Source organism: Homo sapiens, chromosome 12 (genome assembly GCF_000001405.40).
Source record: "Homo sapiens chromosome 12, GRCh38.p14 Primary Assembly".
Lineage (NCBI taxonomy): Eukaryota > Metazoa > Chordata > Mammalia > Primates > Hominidae > Homo > Homo sapiens.
This window is the reverse complement of record NC_000012.12, coordinates 115,996,022-116,014,386: the sequence shown is the minus strand read 5'-3', so window position 1 is coordinate 116,014,386 and position 18,365 is coordinate 115,996,022. Positions and strand designations below refer to the sequence as shown.

Below are 18,365 nucleotides of genomic sequence, written 5' to 3'. Positions count from 1 at the left end.
TATGAGTAGATGTCTGCTTTCTTGACTAATGAAAGTAGACAAATGAGTCTTGATTCTCTGAAACAGAATGAATATGGACATGCATGTCAGTAAAATCCAATAACTTCCCTCATTTAGAAGCCAATGAAATGTTTCTTAAGTGACTACTGTTCCAAGTTTTTATACAGATTTAAAACCTGTCCTTTGGACCCAGCTTTTAGCAATTTCATACTAAATATTGACCAATGAATTGATTCTAGAATAGTCCATTGAAGATGTAGTAGAGAGCTCTAAAATAATTGCAGTGGAAAATCATGTCACATTCTAGAATTAAAAAGTTATCTCTAGTCACTTTAAAATGGTCCTTTCCTTTAGAATAATTGGTACAGATATTTTTACTTCCATCTGCAATGCCTAGATTATTTCCAAGTAAACATTTTCTTTTTCTTTTCCTTTCACTTATCATGTTTGATTTTTAATCACCATCAACCTTACACCTCCACAACTCTTAACAGATCATAGTCCCTTTCTCAGCAGTACAGAACAGGGAGATGAGACAACCAGGAGGGCAGTGGAGGGCAGAGAGTGGGAGAACTCCCTGTAGAGCCACTGTTGAAACACTTTGCAGTATCTGCTGTAGCAAAATCAGCAATCCAAAAATATTGCCCCTTATTGTTATTTCATTGTATAATAAAGCGATCTGCTTTTCGCTACCAATTATCAGTGATATGTAGGCGATACTTCTATTTTCTATTTCACATTAGGAGTGCTGCTCTTAAATGCTAGTAAATATTTTACAGGATGAGTATCTTACTCAAAGTTCGTGGGACCGGAAGTGTTTGGGATTTCAGATTTTTTTTTAGATTTTGGAATATTTGCATATACATAATGAGATATCTTGGGGATGGGACTTAAGTCTAAGCACAAAGTTCATTTATGTTTCATGTGCACATAGCCTGAAGGTAATTTTATACAATGTCTTAAAACAATTTTGTGCATGAAACAAAGTTTGTGTACATTGAACCCTGAGTAAGCAAGGGTGTCTATCTCAGCCACCCATGTGGATAATCTGGGATTGTTTGGCATCACCATCATTCCTGACTCAGAATTCATATGCTACCGATAAGCAGTCACCTCAGCCTCCCAAGTATCTGGGACTACAGGCAAGCGCCACCATGCCCGGCTAATTTTTGTATTTGTATATATGGGGTTTTGCCATGTTGCCCAGGATGGTCTCAAACTCCTGGACTCAAGCAATCCGCCCACCTTAGCCTCCCAAAATGCTGGGATTACAAGTATGAACCACATGCGCCCAGCCAAATGGAAACATTTTGAATCCTGCTTCCAGTACATAAAACAGGTTGTTTTATTCATTGGTTGCTCTGAACTACATGTCAGCAGGATACCATTACTATGTGAATGAAATGTATTCAACTCTTGAACATTTTTCTCCCCAGGGGTATGGGTATTATGTTCACACATAAGTCACATTTTTAACCCTTTTAGGAGGAGCCAAATGTCAACTCCAACTCTTGAAGAAGAGCCTGCTAGCAATCCTGCTACTTGGGATTTTGTGGATCCAACCCAAAGAGTCAGCTGTTCTTGTTCCAGGTAGGTAATAAAAAAGGCAAAATAGTAATGGATCGAATGATGGCGCATCTTGTTGATTCATCTCCTGGCCTCACAGATCAGTTCTTCCTGATTCTCCATTCTCCTCCAGTAGAGAAGAAAAAGATTAGTTTTTTTCTTATATGCAGATGATACAGTTTTATTGTCAGGACTCAGAGTTTGTTAGACAATCGGCCCTGTTAACATATTGCTCCCACAACTTTTTTCTGGTTAGCAGCTTCAAAACTAAAGGCATCAGTTTGACAAGACAGTTCTTAGCCCTTTAAATGACTTTATTTAACTACTCTTAATTTTAAAGTAGAGATACATTAAAAACAGATGGGCTTGAGTCAATAGAATTTGGATTAAAGAGACTTTCTGTAGATAATTTGTTTTGTTGCTAGCAGTGGTGTTTTTTGATCGAGACAGGTATTTGGTCACAACTGCTAAAAGCTAAAACTGTTGCAGTAATGATACCTTGCTTATTCATTTAGTTCTTTGGATACGTCCTCAGATTGCTTTTTTTGTAGAAAATTTTTGCATTCTTCATGGATATTCCATTGACTTACCACTCTTTGTTGTAGTAAAGAATCTTACCATCATAGGTTTTCATTAGGGTTCTTAAATTCTTTAACTGGGCATAAGTCTTAACCCCCAGCTCATTTGACAGTTAGAAGAAGTGGTGATGATTTTTCACCACGACTGGGCTATTTTGAGTAGCCCTGCTTCTGAAATATACACTTTCAAATTTGATACTGTTCAATGTTGATAAAAAGTTCAGGTGAGATAAGCATATTTAGAAGATGGCCATTCATGTCTCTGGTGAGATCAGGGTTTCTTAATGTAGCATGAGTGACTTGGCTTCAGGCTGAGGAGGTAGTCCATACGCCCCCTGCATATATGCAGACTGCTGCGTGTGTACACTTAGGGAACAGCTTTGACACGTTTTCCTCTTCTCCCCTGCCCCTTGAATTGATTCTTTATCGAGCTCTGCCTTGGTAGCCTCTTGTTGAGAGATGTAAGGATAAGCCTAATGAAACTCATTATTGATTTTTCAGGGAGGATGTTTTTGAAGAAGTTGCTTGCTCATTAAGGGTTCCCTCTCTGAGCATGTGAGAGCCTCTCTCTGGTGTTAGTAGGTGAATACCTACTTTACTCTTGTCTCTAGGCTCTTGTGAATTGTGTGACAAAAAGTATTTTCCCAGTAACTTTGACTTATGGACAGCTCACAGCCAAGTTAAGGCCCGCCTTTAGCACATACATAGGATATAAACTGTAGTGTATTTAACTTTTCTTTCATCTTATTTTCCCTGCTCTTTCCTTAGCCCAGATTTTTTCACTTAAAAAGATAACGTATTTACTGACTTTTACACATTTTTATTAGCTACCTGGAATTATTTTTGTAACACGTTAAGTGTAAATAAACAAATAATGCTTTGCTTTTTGTTTTCTGGAATTATTGTTGTATTTCTTTGCCAAATGCATATATCTTCAGGTCTTTTTTTTATAACCATATGCATACCAAGGCACCATTCCATTGACTTTCCAACTTCTGTCCCAACCTGACTTTCACATAGTCTTGTATTTTGGGGGATGCCTTTAAGAAAAATCCTTAGGCTGGGTGCAGTGGCTCACGCCTGTAATCCTAGCACTTTGGGAGGCCAAGGCAGGCAGATCACGAGGTCAAGAGTTCGAGACCAGCCTGACCAACATGGTGAAACCCCATTTCTACTTAAAAAAAAAACAAAAACACAAATTAGCCAGCCATGGTGGTGCGTGTCTGTAATCCCAGCTGCTCAGGAGGCTGAGGCAGGAGAATTGCTTGAACCCGGGAGGCGGAGGTTGCAGTGAGCCGAGATCGCACCACTGTACTCCAGCCTAGACAGAGCGAGACTCCATCTCAAAAAAAAAAAAAAAGAAAAATCCTTAATTTTTGCCATGTATGCTTCCCTGCAAACCTGGAACCCTATTGTGGTCATTTTTATCACAATTTTCTCTTCCCAGCCTACAGACTTGTTAGATGTAATCTGTCACTGGATTTCACACTGACTTCCTTTGAAATGCCTATTGTAATCCTTCTCCTTTCCTTGTTCTTTTAGTCATGATCTATTTCTACATGCTTGGGCCCTGCCTCAGGTTTCTTCCTACCACCAGTCACCCATATAGTGTGCCGACTTCGTCTGATTTTCCCACTGCCTGCATCAGGTTCTTTTCCTGCTGAGACGCACTGTGATTCTCTCCTACCTACTGTGCATTCCTCATTCTAACCTTTTTGCAATGTAGCTGAATCATTAAATACAGTTGAAAAAACTTACTTTATGATTAGATTATCCACTTTGCAAAAAATCTTTACTTTGAAGAGGGTATCATAAAGTGTCTCTCAAAGAACTAGTGCGGGTAAATGCTCTCTGAGAAAAAAAGTCTAAAAGACTTTTAAATTTTAGGTTTTAAAGTAAGTACCTTCATAAGTTATTGAGATACTTTCTGATGAGACGTTCACATGTTACTGTGGTACCATGCTCATTGAGCTTAAAGACAAGAAGTTCAGGAGTGTTTGTTTTTATTTTTTTAGAGTAGCAAAGACTTTGGCAAGAGTATTTGCAGATTATCTGCTGCAGGATTACCAAACCCATTATGGTACAGACCACTCCTTCCACTCTTTAATGGCCTTATGGAGCAGGGCAGCCATCCTGCTGTCCCACTAAACCATCCCATTATGCCCCACAAATCCGTTTTACTGCTCACTAGGGCATCATTTAGGGCAATGCAGCAGTAATTTAATGCCACCCTAGTGGCCTCAGAGAGTTACTACTACACCGGCAGGAGACCTCATATTTTTCCCCGGGAATGATTTATATATTGGGAGGTACTGGCTGACATGCAGTATAACTTTGTTGTACAGATTAAACCTTGGCATCATGTAGTGGGCTCTTACTGAGCCATTTTTCACACCCATGCTTGCCAAGAAGTGTGTTAAGATGTGAGCCGACTTGGTTTTTCTGCTTAGATGGTTCAGGTGCATTTGTGTATGTGTGGTGTTAACTTCTGTCATTTTAACGTGTGTCTGTAAGATCCAAAGTTGTCTTTTATCCCTTCTTGCCTAGATATAGTGGCACATAAAGTTTCTAGTATATTTATCCTATTAAATGTTCTTAGGATTGAAACTTACTGTTTTAGTTCCACACTTTGAGGCAGAGTAGTTGCGTAGTTATTTTATTCCCAATTTACAGCACTACAAGCCATTATAAGCCATTCTATATTACAGTTAGTAGAGTGTTATAAAATAGAAATTGGAAGCTTTGTTGTTTCTTGGCAGAGAATCTCATGACTCTACTCTCATGGTTTTAAGATGCAGTATGAATAGGTTATCTGAGGCCCTCACCAAATCTAAAAGATTTGGGTTTTTTTGAATCAGTGATTTGTAGGGATTAGCAATGTACCTTACATCTTTTGCTGTGCCCATTTCTTATCTGCTTAACTTGTATGTGATTGATTCTTCATTTTTCATTGGGGTGTATTGTGTTTTTTAGTTATATAAGTATAATTAAAAACTTAGAGCCCTTTTATATGTATTAGTACATCTAATGTATGCTTTAAAAGGCAAAATTTTGTCAGAGAATCTCTTTTCTTAATGTTATAATGATGTAATTGTTTACTCTCATTTTAGGCATAAGCTTTTAAAACGTTGTGCAGTCGGGCCCAATCGACCTCCCACAGTATCTCAACCAGGGTTCAGTGCAGGACCATCATCATCTTCATCTTTACCACCTCCTGCTTCTTCTAAGCACAAAACAGCAGAAAGACAGGAAAAAGGAGACAAGCTGCAAAAGAGACCCTTAATACCATTTCACCATAGGCCCTCTGTGGCCGAAGAATTATGCATGGAGCAAGATACACCAGGACAGAAACTAGGGTTGGCAGGGATAGACTCCTCCTTAGAGGTGTCTAGCAGTAGGAAATATGATAAGCAAATGGCCGTGCCTTCCAGAAATACAAGCAAGCAAATGAATCTGAATCCTATGGATTCACCTCATTCCCCTATATCCCCTCTGCCACCAACACTCAGCCCTCAGCCACGAGGTCAGGAAACAGAGAGTTTGGACCCACCATCGGTCCCTGTGAATCCAGCCCTTTATGGAAATGGACTAGAACTCCAGCAGTTGTCTACTCTGGATGACAGAACTGTCCTCGTAGGCCAAAGACTGCCTCTCATGGCAGAGGTCAGCGAGACAGCCTTATATTGTGGGATTAGGCCCTCGAACCCGGAGTCATCAGAAAAGTGGTGGCATAGTTATCGTCTCCCACCCAGTGATGATGCTGAGTTCAGGCCTCCAGAGCTCCAGGGTGAGAGATGTGATGCCAAAATGGAGGTAAACTCAGAGAGCACTGCATTGCAAAGGTAAGACAGCTCTCTGCACCACCCACCCGTCCACCGGAAGGGCATGGGCTCCCTCCCCATCTCTACCTGCTAAACTTTCAGATTCAAAATTGAAGTAGGCTTTTCTTTGTCCTTCTTGACTCCGGATATGGAAAATGTTTAATGGTCAAATGCTTTGTCCTACTTATAGGTTAGCACACATGTCATTTGACACATGGGCATATAAAGAACTCTTTATGCCATTTAAGTACACTCCAAATATATTAATACATTTTTGCCCTACTGTTTGTTAATTAAAGAATATAGCTTTATAAGACTTTCCATACTGCTGTCAGTGCCTTCTTTGTATGTTGACATTTTTGAGGAAGGCTTTGCCTGCATTCAGGTGTATGTATCATGTATCTAGTATAATATTTATAGCTCTTTTGAGCCACCCATTCTAAAACTTTACATAGATGATCTCATTTAATCTTCACTGTACCATATTATTACGTTAATTTTATAACTGAGAAACTAGGGCCATGCAGTTAGTAAATGACACAGATGGAATTTGAAACTAGGCAGTCTGTCCTGAGAACCTGTGCTCTTAAGTGGAATTGATGGACCCAGAGACAAAAACATATATTCTTGACAAAGTATGCTAATTTTTATTTAATCATGAATATAAACTGTAAAAGCAAATCACTATATCGGTGAATTTTTAGTTGTTTTTACAAAAAGTTTAAACTTTGTAAATGCTTTAAGGCATAAATGCTCTTTTTTTTTTTTTTTTTTTTGTCTTTTAGACTCTTAGCACAACCTAACAAACGGTTTAAAATCTGGCAAGACAAACAGCCCCAGTTGCAGCCACTCCACTTCCTTGACCCATTGCCTCTATCACAACAACCTGGAGACAGTTTGGGAGAAGTGAATGACCCATATACCTTTGAAGATGGTGACATAAAATACATCTTTACAGCCAACAAGAAATGCAAACAAGGGACGGAGAAAGATTCCCTGAAAAAGAATAAGGTACCATTTAACAGAGAGAGAGTCCAGCATGGTGTGGGTTTCTATCTATGTCAGTACAACATGTGTGGGAAGACTTTGGAGGCAGAACGTTTGAGATAGTCTTGCCTGATTGCTCTGTCCCCATATTCATGCTCTTGGTACTATTGTATTGAACAGCGTATTGTTCCTTTTTATGTCATGGCTCACCTTTGTTTAAAAGTCAGCCGAACATAAATGAAGCCTCATATTTTCCAGGCTATAGCTTGTACAGTGCATGTTTTCTCTCATATGCTAATTCTTGTTGGCCTATGCTCCCTATTTCTTTTAAAATATTATTCCGAACTACCCAAAATGTAAAGGAAAAAATGTTTGTAACAGTAGGTATACACAATTTATCGAGCGCTTCTTATCCTTACTGTGCTGAGCGCTGTACCTATATATTCTCTGGGTTAATATCAACTCTACCCATAGACTATCAGTATTAATTTTACTGGTTTCATCATCATAAAAATGAGTACTGGTTGTGTCTGCTGTCTTTAATTTCAAATTTTCAGACATTCTAAAATATGGGCCATTGAAATAGGTATTCTTGAGAATCAAGGAAATAAAACAATTATAAGAGGCCGGTATAGTTAGGGGAATGCTTTTTAGATTGTTTTATACAGATCTCCCTAGACCCAGAAAGCCAAATCTATAATTTAGCATCTAAAATGTTGTTAAAGGCAGCTTTTAACACCATGGCAGGTCTGTAATCAAATGCCACCAGTACTGCTTAGGCATAAAACACTGATTCACTCAGAATACCCCATAGGATTGAGGGGAAAGTGGGGAGCTCATGGTTCTGTTGAAATTCCAGAGAAAGGACCTATCTTTTACTTCCTTTGGTTGCATAGACCATGGTTTATCATACTTGTGCTCATAACAAGTTCCATTCTACCCTCTAATTCTTTGTGTTCTCCCTCATATTTCACACTTTGGGTTGGTGTTCATGTGTTTTGTTTGGCTGAATTTATTATACAGTCAGAGGATGGATTTGGTACCAAGGATGTCACTACACCAGGTCATTCCACGCCGGTGCCTGATGGGAAAAATGCCATGTCTATTTTCAGTTCTGCTACTAAAACAGGTGTGTACAATGATTATTTGCCTCACTTGGATTGTTGCTAAAATGAAATGCAAAGGAGATGCTTCTCAATGTAAAATTTTATTCTTATTGTAATAAGAATTTCATCTCATCTTTAATATATTTTTCATAGTTTGTTTTTCAGTTCCTTTCAAAACTGATAAACATATTTGGAAATAATTGTCTCTAAATTTAACTAAAACCATAGGGAAAAACTCACAGGCAGGTCATGTTCATTGAGATCCGTGTCCTCTCCCTACTCCTTTGCGCTTGGTGGAGTTGTTTATTCTGTGTCTTTTGCCTCCTTTCCTACAGATGTCCGGCAGGATAATGCTGCTGGCAGAGCTGGCTCCAGTAGCCTTACACAGGTAACAGATTTGGCACCTTCCCTGCATGACTTAGACAACATCTTTGATAATTCTGATGACGACGAACTTGGGGTGAGTTTGCCGTAGCTACATAAACAAAAATTTCGCTACATGAAAGGACTTTATATCAGTGTTGTAGTATTTCTTTATAGTTTGGTGTCCTGAATTTGGGGGCTCTTATTTCAGGTTCTGAATGTTCTTTATAAATGTCTGTATACTGGAATCTAGTCATGCTGTATAAAAAAAGTTTGTATACTTGGAAAAGATTGTAAAGGTTATTAGTGTAGTGTATCCACCTCGAGTTTTGTTCATTGAAGGATCTTTTTCATTAGTGTATTCCAGTTGTACATATTAAAATCTCTCACATTTATTGTAATAAATTCTTCTAAATATCACAGGACTACTAGAAATGTATTACATTGTCCCTTAGGTTTGATTTTTAAAGTAATGCCCACATAACTTTTTATTCATCTAATAAGTCAGAGGTTAGGTATGCAAATATGATTTATACTTTTTAAGATCATGGCATCATTGTAGGGGAATAGAATTTATATACATAGAAGTTAAATACTACAAGGCAGCATACAATTAAAATGACAGAGAAGAATAATTATTATAATTCTTTGGAGATCAGCAGAACTAAGAGTCAGGAAATGTGTGTCCTCATCCTCCTAACCAACTCTGTACCTTTGGGCAAATACAAGTGCCTGTTTTTTCTGGGAGATCTAGAGATGAGTAAGATAGGCTCTGTTTTCAAAAAGGTCAGCTTATTAGTTTACTTTTCTTTCATTCATTCACTTATCTACCTCCCTATTCATCTGTTTTACATACATTTGTTAATTGTTTGAAGGTTAATTCCTTTGTGGTGGTACTAAGGCTAGTCATTGAGGTTAGAAATATGATTAAATTACCACCCTTATACTTGAGACACTCACAGACATAAGGAGAAATGGCACATAAAGTTATAATGTACTTATTGCTGTGAGTACAATAATAGACCTGAATCTAAAGTTGCTGGACATTCAGATACGACGTGACCAAGTGATGGGGAGCAGTGTTTAAGTTAAGGCTTGAAAGTTAAGTAGGAAACATTTCTAAAGCCCAAACTTTAAAATAAAATGTATCTAACAGATATTATATACCATTACTGTTATAAGTACTTAGAAGATGAGGAGATCATAATGGTCTGGAAGAATGGATTGTACTTGAAATATGGAAAGAAGGGGTCATTGAGAGGAAGGGGGAGGGACATTAGTTTAAGTGTGGAATGAGCCTTGATTAAACAACAAAAACGAACTAGATTAGCTTTCAGGGATAAGGAACAGACCATTGGTCTGTTTTTTTGGATGATTAGAGACTGATAGGTCTAGGAAAGTTTTGGATTTTAAACTGTACTAATATGTGTTCCTCTGAGGGCTGCTGAGTATAGAACTGAACTGGCAGAAGGGCTATTTTTTTTTCCAGTCTGATATGCCGAAAGCAGGAATCCTCTAATCTGGTAACTTTTGTTGGATTGGAACACTAGAATCTGAATTTATACAGTGGCCACATGAAGGAAAAGGACATGAAAATGTGAAAAACTCTGGTAGAAGAAATGACTCATTTCTTCATTGCTGATCCAGGCATTGAATTTGACTATCCACTGGAGGCCAAGTGCTGCCTGGGTTTGGTTTTAAAGATACAGAGGGTTAGGATAGGTGCTTTGGCAATGGTGATGGGAATCCAATATGAAAAGAAAAGGAGGTACAAGTCAAAGGAGGAGAAAGAAAGGAACAGAGCAAGCATTTTGGAGTGGCCTGCCTGATCTGTTCATGACCACCATCCTGGTAATTGTTTCTGCTCTGGGCCACTGAACTTATTCTTTGTATAAATTATGAATTACTATTAAGCTTAATGAAGAAATGTTTAACTGTTGGGAATATACTTTTAGTAATATTAACATGAAAAGGAGAATTGGACATTTTCAATCAAATTTTCATTTCTCTGAGTGTTTTTGCTTTACTCTGATTTTTAGTCTGGCATTTAATCACATGAGCGGTTTACCTTAGAATATATTGCTAATTCATCTTACTACTCGTAAATGGAGTTGGGAGGCTGTTGGCTGAGTTGTCATCTCATGTGTCTTTGAATTTAATTTTAATTTTACATTTCAATGTTGTGACATTGTATAAGTATAAATAAATAAAAGGCCTTCTATTTGTAAAAATCATTTTTTGCTTTATTTTATATTTTATTTTAATTCATCACCAGTTCATTTAATGTTAAAGATAATCTTGCCCAGTAATGCACTTGGTTTGTTTTTGAATAACAGATCAGAGAAAAACCTTCTGAATATTTCAATAATTTTACACAATAAGGTTATTTTTGGTGAAGATAAATAGTAACTATAAAAATAGGTACAGAAGATACATAGTTTGTTGTGATAAATGCAAAAAAAAAAAAAGAATTGGAGGGCTTGAGATTATGCCTTTTAGCTGCTTGCTTCCAAGTATAAGGGAAACCAGACCAATTGTCAGTTACTACTGGAGGCACCACCCTAATGTAACACTGTGTCCCTGAAAATTGACTTGGGAGGGAAGAATTGCTTAAGGTCTGCAAGCTCTCCTTTGATGGCGCAATCTGCCCTCACAAGATCCATGAAAAAAATTCACTGTTTCTTACACTTGATAAGCTTGTAACCATCTCCTTTGTTTCACTATCTGTTGGTATTTCTAGAGGTTCACCTGGTAAACGCTTCTACCAAGAGGCATCTACCAATAGGCATACATTAGGAAATATTTGAATGCTGCCCTACTTATATACACGTCACTCTGTTTTAATAACACCGTCTGTTCTTAGGCTGTATCACCTGCTCTGCGCTCATCAAAAATGCCTGCAGTTGGGACAGAAGACCGACCTCTTGGGAAGGATGGAAGAGCTGCTGTTCCTTATCCACCAAGTAGGTAGAGAAACTTGACTGAGCCATTGTGGCTCACTGCCTGTAACTTAGATATAATATTCTCATACTTAGTGGTGCTTTATCTTTATCTGAAATTTCCCTTCCTTTTGACAGAATTCTAACTGTGAATTAAAACCTATATAAATTGGTGTTCTGAGATGGCAGGCAGCTAATCATATACAGAAACCATCTTAATTTGAATTCCTTTCCTTTGTTTTCCAGTTAAGAATTAGCTTTTTATAGCTTAAAATGTAGAAAAACATGTTTTAGGTTTGTTTTTCTAATAGTCCTTTCCTAGTAGAATAAATGCTGCACAAGTGATTTTTCAAACTGATACTCTATTATAAGACTGTGTAAAATGTTTCTGTTTTTATAAATATAATTCACTCAAGGATATTGGATATTTGATTTCAGTGGTCCTTTTCAAGATGCATACTAAAGTTTTTGTGTTTCCTTTTGAGATCAACTAGTTTTACCATATATGCTGACAAAGAGATGAACCTCTTTTTTTTGAGTATATTCTTTGCCCTAAGAAACCAAATTATTCTACAAGAGGAAAAAAAAGGGTAGCTTATGTGGATACTCTGAAGCAGAAACATAATTCCATTGCAAATCATTCTTTAACACCTTCTCATTAACTTCAGCTGGTAATGAGAACAAATTGAGGGGAAAAACCACCATGTCATAGGGATGAGTCAAAAAGCTTTATGAACCTATAAATGTAGTGCTGATTTACTCAAATCTAGAAGTTGGGAAGTATACAGAGATTGGATTTTGACAGCTTTAGTGGATCCATAGCTTTTTAAAATATGCAAAGCTTTCTCAAGCATGACATGGGTGAAAATGAATAATGATAGCCAGCCCGTTGCTGTAGTTTTTTTAGTTAAACATTTTTCTTGTTTTATTACTCTGCACTGCAGAATTTCACAAACATGGAACTTCACAGATTAAAAGAAACAGTATTAAAATAGATATGTGCAGGTCAGATGAGTGAGTTTTTCCTCTTTTTTGAATCCATTGATCCTTTACCCTTTTTGACATGACGTGATGCGTAGTGATGTGAAATGTTAGAATGTCTGATAACTCAGCCAAGGCTTTTCACTCGCAGACATCCTGCTAGTTAGCAGCATTGCCAAGTGAAGTATATTGTGTGCTCTATCCTTTCTCTCATTTCTATCCAAAAAAGAATTATTTCAAAAAGAAGCTACTCAAAATTCAAAATTTTATGATAAAGTGCACGTTATAAAAACGAATCAATATGAAATGTAGCACAGAATATTAACACCAGGAAAACCCAGATATGCAAGAATACAGAGGATCATTTTAATGTGTACAAAGCATATATATAAATATGTGTTCGTGAGAGCATATGTATTTGTGGGATGGGGTGGGGGAGTGAGGGGAACACACAGTATTTCCTCCCAAGAAATGACAATGAAAATAGCCTGGCAAGATATTTTAATCTCAGCAATAGATTTTTGGGCATTGCAGTGGGAAGACAAATGTATTATAAAAGTTAATGTCTAGCCTGTAATCCCAGCACTTTGGGAGCCCAAGGTGAGCAGATTACTTGAGGTCAGGAGTTGGAGACCAACCTGGCCAACGTGGTGAAACCCCATCTCTACTTAAAATACAAAACTTGGCACCACATGGTGGTGTGCACCTCTAATCCCAGCTACTCGGGAGGCTGAGGCAGGAGAATCACTTGAACCCAGGAGGCGGAGGTTGCAGTGAGCCGAGATAGCACCACTGCACTCCAGCCTCGGCGACAGAGCAAGACTCCATCTCAAAAAACAGAAACAAAACAAAATTAATGTCTAAACAACACTGTCCAGTAGAAACACAAGGGAAGCCACAAATGAGAGCCACATGTGCAATTTCACATTTTCTAGTGGCTATTTAAAAAAAGAAATTAATTTTAATAATATACAGTATTTTATTTAAGTATCCAAAATATTATTTTTACATGTAATTAGTATAAAATTATTGCAGTATTTCACTTTTTTTATAAAAATGTAATATATAATGGTTGTACATATTTTACTTTTTTTTTTGGTATGAAGTTTTGGGAATACAGTGTATGTTTTACATATGCAACCCATCTCTATTTGGTCAAGCCCCATTTTGGGTGCTCAGTAGCCACGTGTGGCCAGTGGATATTGTGTTGGAAAGCATAGGTTCCTCATTATTCATTTGTGAATGTAATGCTGAAGACAGCAACAAACAGTGACAAATAGGTTTACTTTAATATCAAGTTTATGTTAAGGTAGTATTGTGTTATAGTAAAAACATGTTTTTATTAGGTTTTATTATTAACCACTTTCTTACAAATTTTCGCATTTGAAAGCACATCAGTTTAAAGTATGAGTCTTTGAATAGACAAAAGGAAAGAGTTGGATTTTGGGGTTGGTTCATTTGTTTATTTTCCAAGAGTCCTTACGGTTTGGAAGGGACTTGGGCATGTGCTCTGGGGTGAGGAGAACACTAAGAAATCAACAATGCTGCTTTGTTGGAGGTCTTCCATCCTGTGCATGAATACATAAAGTGCTGGGCAGGAGCAGGTGGGTGTCTTATGAGTTCCCGCTGAAGTGCAGAGATAGGCAGGATGGGAGTAAGCAGAGCGCTGTGGGCAGCACAGCTCACCTCCAGTCCGTCCTGGTGGCTGTTTCCACCCTTGCTTTAGCCGTTTTCTGGGAAGAAAATTGAAGAGACAAATCATGTTTCTATTTTGGAGGACCAAAGTGTTTCTTGGAGTCTGTGTGTTCTTTCTGCTTTACCCACTTTGAGTCCGATTCCCTTTGGTCATCTCAAAATTTCTTTAGGGTCATATATTTTCAGAAAGTCCCAAAACTTGACAGTGGTTCCATCTTTTTCCAATCCAGGTTTGGGAGGGAGAATTAATTTGTACTGAGTTCATCATTTGCTGAATGTTTAGATGTTTGCAGCAAAGTGTTCACTTCTGAGCATACATTATCTCAATATGCACAAAAAATATGAAGTAGATATTTTTCCCATTTTACGGATTAGGAAATTGAAGTGAGACAGACTGAGTCTTCCTTAAGAATATCTGATAGTAACAATGATAAAGACCACTTTATAAAGTGACTCTCTTGGAGGTAGAATTTCATCCCTGCTTTTTTGTGTGTTCTCTGTTTACCTTTGCTAAAATTAACAGGGTGGCTGAGGCTTTGAAAACTGAGATATATGCGTGCGTTCAGGAAGATCAAAGAAGTCAGCTAACACTAAGTGGGTGGAAATGCCTTTATTATGTTTCTTACAGGAAATGTAAAAACAAATTTAATAGAACTATTTTTTTTTTTTTGCAAAATCTTGTGTCATAGGATACTTATAAGAAAGGCTATGTTTAAGCTCATCCTTTTAACTTAAAGAGAATTTATACAATTTCTGTACTTCACAAAGAGCTACACTGGCTATTAAGATTTATGGCAATGTGACTTTGAAGATTTTATGAAGCAGAATTATGTTTTAAAATATAACTCAAATTATATTACAGTTTTGTAGTAGCTGTTCTTCGGCTTGAGAGGAGGAATAGGGACTAAAGGTTAAAGGTGATGGATTTATTTCAAGCGTAGATGAACTTTTTTTTTTTTTGAGACAGAGTCTTTCTCTTTCACCGAGGCTGGATTGCAGTGGCGAGATCTCGGCTCACTGCAATCTCTGCCACCTCAGTTGAAGAGATTCTTGTGCCTCAGCCTCCTGCCAGCATGCCTGGCTAATTTTTGTATTTATTTAATAGAGACAGGATTTCGCCATATTGCCCAGATTGGTCTCGAACTCCTGACCTCAAATGATCTGCCTGCCTTGGCCTCCTAAAGTACTGGGATTATAGGTGTGAGCTATCCCACCCGGCCTCCAGTGTAGACTAACTTTATATTAAAGATCTTGGCTTTGTTTTAAAGAAAACTTACTGATCTGGTTCCTGCTACATTTTAAGTCCTGTTTTTCCACCTCAGAGTGTATCGGTTATGTAGCCTCTCAAATAGTTTTCTGCCAGTTTCTTGTTTGGCTTGGCTCATGTTTCTACTTCTATAAATTTTTAAGGTGCCTTGAAGATCAACTTGGGATTTTTAGTTTTTTCTTCTTCTTTTTTTTAGAAGCAGCAGGTACTTTTTTGTATAATGAAATCAGATACAGATTCCTATTATAGAAAATAAGTAGCAGTGGAGCATCGCTAATGGAAATGAATGTTGGAATTAACAACCCTGCTGATTGGCCTCTCCCTCTCCTTATTTTACAAATAACTCCACAGGCCAAGAGAGGCTAAATGATTTAGGATTATACAGTTGTTTCACTTAGAAACACGGTAAAGATTATGTAATTCAGAAGTTCTCACCTTTTCTTCTGCCTCCATATGCTGAGGTGTTTGAAAGCTTTCCTCTCCCCTCACAAACAAAGCAAAGCAAGTAGGCCCATTGAGAGTCATCCATCTAGCCCTGCCTTCCCTGTTAGATGAAGGAACCAAGGCCCCAAGGGGGGAAGTGACCTGACCACAGCAGATCTAAGTCCCCAGCACCTGGACTGGGTAGCCGTGAGCACAGCACGGTACAGTTGCCCAGTGTTAATTTCTGATTCGGAGCTAGGAGTCAGATCTTAGTGATTCAGTGGTTATTATTGGTCTGTTTAAATCTTGAAGTTGTTGGAAAGAGCAATAGGATAGGAAACTGGGACATTAAATCACTGATTTAAAAACCTGTGGCTCCAAACTTAAAAAATTTGCTGCATAGGCCACCCCCTAGTGGCCAAATTTTACAACTACAACTTTTCAATAGGTCTACTTTTTAAGAATCAGTGCCTTAATGAACTACTGTAGTGATAATTTTTTACTACAGGTGTATTAAAGGAAACTTTTTTTTTAAAGAAGGAGTTCAGAACCGCTGTTCTAAGTATTTCTTAAAAGAAACTTTGAAGTTTCATTTTAATATCTGTCTGGAAAAAATATGGAACTGTTTCCCCAAAAGAGCAGCTGTGAGTTTCCCCAAAAGAGCAGCTGTAAGTGTAGTGGATTTGTCAAACTAGCTGAGTAATCAGCTCCAAACAATTTTTATTTTTTGTAATATTTTATACATACTTGAAAGCAGGGATAGAACTTTAGTAGTGGTAACTATCTAATTGCTTCCACTTTCTGTTTAATTCCTCTCCTTAGACTTTTCAGGGAATCAGTTGTTGGAAGAAACATACAAGTTATGTAGACTTTGTTTACTTAATTAATGTGAAGCCAGACCATAAAGCATCAAGAAGTTAGTGATAAAGACCAAGAAAAGTCCAGGCACAGTGGCTCACACCTGCCATCCCAGCGCTTGGGGAGTACGAGGCAGGCGGGCCACTTGAGCCCAGGAGTTCGAGACCAGCCTGGGCAACATGGTGAAACCCTGTTTCTACCAAAAATACAAAAATTAGCTGGGCATGGTGGCACGTGCCTATAGTCCCAGCTACTTGGGAGGCTGAGGCACAAGAATTGCTTGAACGAGGAAGGCAGAGGTTACAGTGAGTCAAGATCAGGCCACTGCACTCCAGCCTGGGTGATACAGTGATACTTTGTCTCACGAAACAAAACAAAACAAGACCCAGAAAAAGATAATTCTCTGCTGATGGCCTTCTTCTTAGTCACTTCCATTATTAATATTCTTTTGTGAACTGATGTGATCATTTAATTAGCACTATTTTTGGTGCCAAAGAGTGCGCCTGGCTATAAGCTAGGACTTTTTAGAAGCCCTTCCTATTAAACAAATTTTTTTTATTTCTTATTTTTAGCAGTTGCAGACTTGCAAAGGATGTTTCCCACTCCACCATCTTTGGAACAGCATCCTGCATTTTCTCCTGTGATGAATTATAAAGATGGGATCAGCTCAGAGACAGTGACAGCATTAGGCATGATGGAGAGCCCTATGGTCAGTATGGTTTCAACACAACTCACAGAATTCAAAATGGAAGTGGAAGATGGATTAGGAAGTCCCAAGCCCGAGGAAATTAAGGTAGTTGTCAATATATTAACATTTCCAGGGCAGAGCAGTTTCCAAGTGGATTCACATACATCTGCTTTAAAATGGTATTGTCTGTGTGCCATATATACATAAGTTCCTAAGAATCCTTTTAATTAGAACATGAGGCACACCAGCAGGCATATTAAATAGTGTCTTTTGATTGATTTAACATTTCTGCATTAGCATTTTCTAATGATCATAGGAGAGAAATACTGAAATACGATCATTTTGGTTGCTGTTTTTATGATAGCACTATGCCACTGTGGTGTGTTCTACAGAGTTTACCAATATTAACACTGACCCCACTTTGTTGTCACAGGACTTTTCATATGTGCACAAAGTTCCATCCTTTCAACCTTTTGTGGGATCCTCCATGTTTGCTCCACTGAAGATGTTGCCGAGCCATTGTTTGCTACCTCTGAAGATACCTGATGCCTGTCTGTTTCGGCCTTCATGGGCAATTCCTCCTAAAATTGAACAACTGCCCATGCCCCCTGCAGCCACTTTCATTAGAGATGGCTACAAGTATGTATAGGGATTGTGTCATTTACTTGCCATATTTGATGCAATTTTTATCTTAACTAAATGTTTGTTAAAAATGATGACAAGGTCCGGGCGCGGTGGCTCATGCCTGTAATCCCAGCACTTTGGGAGGTGGAGGCGGGCAGATCACTTGAGGTCAGGAGTTTGAGACCAGCCTGGCCAACATGGTGAAACCCCGTCTCTACTAAAAATACAAAAAATTAGCTGGGCTTGGTGGCAGGAGTCTGTAATCCTAGCTACTCGGGAGGCTGAGGCAGGAGAATCGCTTGAACCCGGGAGGTGGAGGTTGCAGTGAGCCAAGATCGCGCCACTGCCCTCCAGCCTGGGCGACAGAGTGAGACTCTGTCTCAGAAAGAAAAAAAAGAAAGAAAAAATGATGACAAGTAGCATATCATTTGAAACTTTCCTTTATTGGTCGTTCATGTTTTTGTGCAAA

General features: G+C 38.2%; 1 protein-coding gene across 8 annotated transcripts in view, besides 3 other annotated features; it reads left to right on the top strand.

The window, feature by feature from the left end:
• Window positions 1-18,365, top strand: part of MED13L (mediator complex subunit 13L) — a 319,118-nt gene that overhangs the window by 263,307 nt on the left and 37,446 nt on the right. For 6 of the 8 annotated variants that reach the window (XM_047428608.1, NM_015335.5, XM_047428605.1 and 3 more), the window contains 8 exons: window positions 1,486-1,590; window positions 5,255-5,986; window positions 6,751-6,976; window positions 7,976-8,081; window positions 8,394-8,518; window positions 11,285-11,384; window positions 17,157-17,377; window positions 17,706-17,911. In XM_047428608.1, coding sequence (XP_047284564.1) covers window positions 1,486-1,590; window positions 5,255-5,986; window positions 6,751-6,976; window positions 7,976-8,081; window positions 8,394-8,518; window positions 11,285-11,384; window positions 17,157-17,377; window positions 17,706-17,911 — 1,821 coding nt within the window. The remainder of the gene's footprint in view (window positions 1-1,485; window positions 1,591-5,254; window positions 5,987-6,750; window positions 6,977-7,975; window positions 8,082-8,393; window positions 8,519-11,284; window positions 11,385-17,156; window positions 17,378-17,705; window positions 17,912-18,365) is intronic. The other 2 variants (XM_017019090.2, XM_047428607.1) reach the window with 1 other exon arrangement.
• Window positions 15,370-15,869: an enhancer, noted in NCBI's record as "OCT4-NANOG-H3K27ac hESC enhancer chr12:116436323-116436822 (GRCh37/hg19 assembly coordinates)". NCBI's record gives its function as "activates a minimal SCP1, AML or CMV promoter by ChIP-STARR-seq in naive H9 embryonic stem cells {active_cell/tissue: H9 hESC(naive)}" and the evidence as "EXISTENCE:reporter gene assay evidence [ECO:0000049][PMID:30033119]".
• Window positions 15,870-16,371: an enhancer, noted in NCBI's record as "OCT4-NANOG-H3K27ac hESC enhancer chr12:116435821-116436322 (GRCh37/hg19 assembly coordinates)". NCBI's record gives its function as "activates a minimal SCP1, AML or CMV promoter by ChIP-STARR-seq in naive H9 embryonic stem cells {active_cell/tissue: H9 hESC(naive)}" and the evidence as "EXISTENCE:reporter gene assay evidence [ECO:0000049][PMID:30033119]".
• Window positions 15,937-15,986: an enhancer, noted in NCBI's record as "active region_7088". NCBI's record gives its function as "activates an Ori minimal core promoter by ATAC-STARR-seq in GM12878 lymphoblastoid cells {active_cell/tissue: GM12878}" and the evidence as "EXISTENCE:reporter gene assay evidence [ECO:0000049][PMID:35858748]".